The sequence below is a fragment of the Homo sapiens genome, chromosome Y, assembly GCF_000001405.40.
Source record: "Homo sapiens chromosome Y, GRCh38.p14 Primary Assembly".
Lineage (NCBI taxonomy): Eukaryota > Metazoa > Chordata > Mammalia > Primates > Hominidae > Homo > Homo sapiens.
Window position 1 is genome coordinate 2,835,077 of NC_000024.10, and position 6,518 is coordinate 2,841,594.

A 6,518-nucleotide genomic window follows, 5' to 3' on the forward strand; every position below is an offset into this window, starting at 1 on the left:
TATGGGGGAGAAGTTTATGGAAGGTTTGGAATATCTCTGGGAGGAGGGGAGGTTATCTTGGGGCTGACATCTTTCTGGCAGTAGGGGGTTATCTCTGGGCTAGTGTGTCTCTGGATGGGGAGGAGTTTGTAATGTTTCTTGTTGGAGATGTTATTTGTGGTTTAGGGTCATGCTGACTTTTGCCATTAGGCTGCTGTCCTTTGGATTTAGGCTGTTTTTTGATTAAGATGAATTTTAAAATGAGGTGCTTGTTCATGATGGCAATACTCCTGTTCTGTCAACATGACCAATAAGGACTCCAGTACTGGCACTATCCACATAAAATAGTAAACATAGTGTGAAGCAATGCAAGCATGTATGTTGAAACTTGGCTCCACACTAAATCCAGCTTCAGGCTTAACTGTATGTAAAAAAAAAAAAGAACTGTCAAATTGCCAGTGCATTTTTTACAATACTTCTTACTTTGCTTTAATCAAGATGAAGAGCTTTAGCTATGAAAATGTTAATTAGCCAAATGTGTCCAATTCTTTATCAGGTTTTAAAGAATATTTTATAATATAATTTTTCCACATTTTTCTCACCTACTGAATGGTTCATTACCACATTGTTTCAAGAATAACCTTTTCAAATCTGTAATCTGAACTACCTTTTGGATAACTACTGAAATAGACAAAATTTTTTTGTTTGTTTTTGTCTCTTTGGAGTCTGGGGAGGTACTAATAACATAATCCTAATAACATAACCTTTTCCGGCACATTTTGTATACAGAATTACATGTTAACTAGAATTCTTATGAAACCCTAAAATGTAAGAAATTCTGAACTATCAGATATGGACATTTACAGATAAGAACAATTCCACAATTTTAGAACATATTTCCCTACACTACAACCCTTTCTTAATTGGAAATGACGCAGATATGAAATGAGCATCGGAAATAACTTTTAAGATTTTAATTTACAGAAAGGGTTTACCTAAAACATTTATTCCATTCATTGTACTCAATTGTTACACTTTATTAATTATTATTATTATTATTTTTGAGACAGTCTCGCTGTGTCTCCCAGGCTGCAGTTCAGTGGTGTAATCTCGGTTCACTACAACTTCTGCCTCCTAGGTTCAAGTGATTCCCCCGCCTCAGCCACCCAAGTAGCTGTGATTACAGGTGTCTGCCACCACACCAGGCTAATTTTTTGTATTTTCAGTAGAGATGGGATTTCACCTTATTAGACAAGATGGTCTCCATCTCCTGACCTTGTGACCTGCCCACATTGGCCTCCCAAATGTGACATTTTGAACAAGAGAGACATGATACATCAATTAACACACGTAAAATGAAATTGGTTCCATGTGGAAAGGTAGGGCAACTCAAAGTGGGGAGGGGGGTTGGGAACTTCCAGGTCACAGATAGGTGGGAAACAAACGGTAGCATTTTTTTGAGTTTCTGATAAGCCTTTCTGAGGTAGGCAGTCGGATATGCATTTATCTTAATGAGCAGAGGGGTGAGTTTGAATACAATAGAAGGCAGGTTGGCCATAAGCATTCCCAGCTTGAATTTTCTCTTCAGCTTAGTGATTTTGGGGAGCGCAAAATATTTTCCTTTCATAAGTTACTCTCATTCATCAACAGAAAGCATGCAAACCAAGATAATTTTGTTTTGGCTGAGTTTATAGTTTTATAACCTTCTGTGCCAAACACTGACATGTTAAAATAGCTAGCAAAGACAAACATAAAATTCAGACAAAATGTATGCTGACAATTCAGAAGGCATTTCTATTTTTATTCTAAAATAATTTTTAAAATTAGTTTAAATAATTTTAAAGCCACCTTGTTCAGTAAAGTTATATTTGAGTCACATGAACTTGAAAATTGCTTATACTTATTTACTTAATTTATGAGCACTCTTAGTTATAAGCCAATTTGGTAGACACACCATATGACAATAAGTGTACATATAAATTAACACATTAGACCTGTATACACACACATAAACAAAGATCCAATAGCTTAGAACATCAGCCATGAGATAGCAACATAAGCTTGCTGATTTTAGCCTGTTTGCCTGAACAGATAATTCAGTGAAGTCTGTGAACCAAAATTTCTGCTGAAGGAGTCTCCATGGCAGATTTTTAAAGGCCAAACCTCCCCCGACTCCAAAGGGTACTGGGGCCAAACAGCACTAAATGAGAGTGTCACACATTAACCAGGCCCCTTGCTTAAGACAGCAGTACAAAAACCTGGATACATGCAATGTCATCCCACTTTCCCATTCAACTGCAAACTCCAGGTTCCAAACAATATTCGGGACAAGCAGTATGGCAATTCAGAGAAAATTCTAAGGAGGGCTTAGTACTAGACCTCAGAACCCCTGCCAAGGGCCTCTCCTTTGGAGAGGGTGAGGTCTGAAGAATTCCCCTACCTGTGCATCCCCCAATCTTAGAGTCAGATGTCTCTGACCTTAGGAGTGTACAAGTGCCAGTTGCATGTTTTCCCTCCAGAGGGAGGGAGGAAGAGTTTTTATTTCTACAAGCGGTTACAGGGAGAAGGCCTGGAAATTATTGCCAGGCCGACTCAAAATTACAAAGTTTTCCAGAGCTTCTATAGCTTCTAAGCTCTATATCTACATGTAAGTGTGCATTCATCTAAAGACATATGTGAATACTTCTTTTAATCTACAAGCAAGGTCTGAGTCCTGAAGACTTTCCTCTGGAGTCTCCGTAAATTTGCTTAATCTCAGTGGGTGCAGGTGCTGGGATGATTATACTTGTCACCTGCTAAATCATAAAGGTTTGAGAAGTTCCTTCAGACCCCCTAAGAAACTTTTTTGTGAAGGCCTGAAGAGTTTCTTCAGATCCCCAGTAAAACTTGTTTAATCATGCTTTTAAGGTTCAGGAAAGGCCTGGGGAAAACTCTTGGTGGACTTTTGTTGCATTCCAGCCTTTGTATAAGGACACTGGCTTTTTCAGCTTTTAATATTTAACTTAACCCATCAGTCAGTGCTGAAACAGTTGTTATAGAGGCCTGTGTTAGTGAGACCTGGCCTGCCACATTACCACATCCCTTAGCCTGTTTGGCTAAGGCTCTTTCAACACACTTAGGCCATGTGAAAAGTGAAAACGCATGCCTGGCACAGAATAAGTGCTCAGTAAACACATCAATTTGCTTACTGTTTGGAAGGAAGCTTTATCACCCAATCCCTGATTTAAGGTAGGAGTGTATATTGCCAAGTAGTTTGTTACATTTTCTTACACCTTGATTATTTTGAAATTATGCATATGGCACTACTCAACTAAGAGAGTGTGAAAGGAAAAATAAATGTTGGAACCCCCAAATCACTACGAGGCCAAAGAGAAAAGTCAAGCTGGGAACTGTGGCAGGCAAACCTGAGATGAGAATAAGACAAAGCTAAAAAAAAAAGCTACATAGGGCCGGGAGCGGTGGCTCATGCCTGTAATCCCAGCACTTTCGGAGGCTGAGACGGGTGCATCACGAGGTCAGGTGATCAAGACCATCCTGGCTAACGTGGTGAAACCCCGTCTCTACTAAAAATACAAAAAAATATATATATATATATTAGCCAGGCATGGTGGTGGGCGCCTGTAGTAACAGCAACTTGGGAGGCGGAGGCAGGAGAATGGCGTGAACCTGGGAGGCGAGCTTGCAGTGAGCTGAGATCGTGCCACTGCACTCCAGCCTGGGTGACAGAGAAAGACTCTGTCTCAGGAAAAAAAAAAAAAAAAGCTACATAGATTCCTCACAATTGCCCCAAAAGAGAAATTCATTGTGGACCTCAAGGTCTTTTTTTTGAGACAGAGTCTGGCTCTGCTACCCAGGCTGGAGTGCAGTGTCGCGATCTCGGCTCACTGCAACCTCTGCCTCACACATTCAAGCGATTCTCCTGCCTCAGCCTCCCGAGTAGCTGGGACTACAGGCACGTGCCACCATGCCTGGCTACTTTTTTGTATTTTCAGTAGAGACAGCGTTTCACCGTGTTAGCCAGGATCGTCTTGATCTCCTGAGCTCGTGATCTGCCCGCCTCTACTATGAGCTTTCATTTTTGTCACTGCAGGAAAGGCTTGACTGCTGGCATCCTTATAATTTGATAAGGCCATGATTTCCCATGCTTCCCATTCCATGAACGTTAATGATAGGAACTGGAAGCTGGGTTCGTTTTTTGTTCTTAGCCAGTTGAGTAGGATAACGGGAGAATAAGAAAAGAAGGTTTACATCTCCTGCAACATTTGCAAGTCTACTCTGAGCTGCATCACACATAGGAATCAGGGACCACACCTGGAACAGATTAAAAAAAAAAAAAAGGTCCTTCCCCCTTCTGGACAGGACAATTATTCCTATTCACTCCTTGGCATTCAGGTAACACAAGAGAGTGATCCTAGCTAATTGCCCTCAATTTCCAAGGAACTACAGGGAAACAGCCACTGAAAGACCAAAAAAGAAAAGAAAAAAAAAATTATAAAAGACCCAGATACCTTAAACAAACTGAGCAGTGGTGATTTGGTGCCTCCACACGGAAACTCCTAGATTCACTGCCCACAGCCAGAAACCTGCAGTTGCCTCTGTGTTTAGGCACTGCCCACCAAGGGTCTCAAATTGGAAAGCGCAGAGGTTCTACGCCCAGCCATGCACCTCAAGATCTTTACTCCAAAGCAGTTCTGTTTAATTTCACCCTGGCGACCTACATTGGTAGCTCATCTTCACAGGTGCAAGACAGAAAGTCCTCCATGTGCACATCTGCAACAAATGCCTATCTCATTGTTTCCTCTGCTACACTGTTTATGTAAAAATACAGACTCACTGAGCCAGACTATGAAAGTAATTGACTATTCCTCTACCCTTCCTGTTTTTTTTTTTTTTTTTTGACAGAGTTTCCAAAGCGATTCTCCTGCCTCAGCCTCCTGAGTAGCTGGGATTACAGGCATGTGCCAACACGCCCAGATAATTTTTGCATTTTTAGTAGAAACAGGGTTTCTCCATGTTGGTCAGGCTGGTCTTGAACTCCCAACCTCAGGTGATCCATCTGCCTCAGCTTCCAAAAGTGCTGGGATTACAGGTGTGAGCTGCCACACCCGGCCTCTACCTTTCCTGTTACAGTTAAATTGTGTATTTAGTGAAAGGCTGATCAGAGACCCAAAATAATGCAACCATTTGTCTCTTACGACATCAAACTCTACCTTCCCACTGCCCCAGCCCCCCACCAAGCCACCCCAATGTCCTGCACCATGTACATCTTACATCTTGCCTTCCTAAAATGTATGAAACCAACCTGTGCACTGGCCGAGAGAGAGAGAGAGAGAGAGAGAGAGAGAGAGAGAGAGAGAGAGAATAACCAGAAAGGAACACAAGGAAACTTTTGGAGGTGATGGAGATGTTCATTACCTCGATTGTGATGGTGGTATCGTGGATTTACGCCTATGTCCATACTCATCAAATTGTACACATTAAGGAAGTGCAGCTTCATTTGACTGGTTGTTTTTTTGTTTTAATTTAATTTAATTTAGTTTATTTTGAGACGGAGTCTTGCTCTGTCACCCAGGCTGGAGTGCAGTGGCGCGATCTCGGCTCACTGCAAGCTCCGCCTCCCGGGTTCACGCCATTCTCCTGCCTCAGCCTCCCGAGTAGCTGGGACTACAGGCGCCCGCCACCACGCCCGGCTAATTTTTTGTATTTTTATTTTTAGTAGAGACGAGGTTTCACCGTGTTAGCCAGGATGGTCTCGATCTCCTGACCTCGTGATCCGCCCACCTCGGCCTCCCAAAGAGCTGGGATTACAGAAGTGAGCCACCGTGCCCGGCCTGGCTGGTTGTTTTTTGTATATCAATTCTGTCAGGCGGACGCGCGTGAAAAATTCCAATGGAAGCTGTGACCACACACACGCCTGCGCAGTACAACTTACATAGCGGACTTCACTCTCTTAAAAGTGAATTGTTTTGCAGGTTTTACGACATGGACAGAGCTGTGCAGCCATCATCACGAGCTAATCCAAAGCAAGGTATTCGACTTAAAATTCAAATGCCATGAAACCTATCCTTTCAATGTTTACGGTACAGACGATTTTAGTACTTTCCCAAACCTATGAAATTGGCCCCAATCCTGAACAAGGAATGATTTGTCTCTGAAACAAATCATGATTTTGCAATCACAGCATGTCACAGTCACAAGGAATCATATAGGTTATTTCTCACGATTGGCATTTTTTTTTAAGGCTCCTAAATCGTGCTGTTTCAGGACTTTTGCTAAATATTTTGAAGGTCGGCGAAAGATAAGTTTAAGAGTGTAAACTGCGTCCTCCCAGCTCAGCCAACTTGACGGGGGGTAGGCACAACAAAAAGTCCTGCGGCATAACTGACACCTGTAAATCAGTATCAGAAACTGAAAATGCTAAGAAATTCAGTTCCAGGATATGAACTCTACAGCGGAAGAATAAGAAACCGGAACTAAACTTCTCACTCATCTGACTTCCTGCGGTTTACGACAACAGACTTTGGTTGCACCGGAAAAGA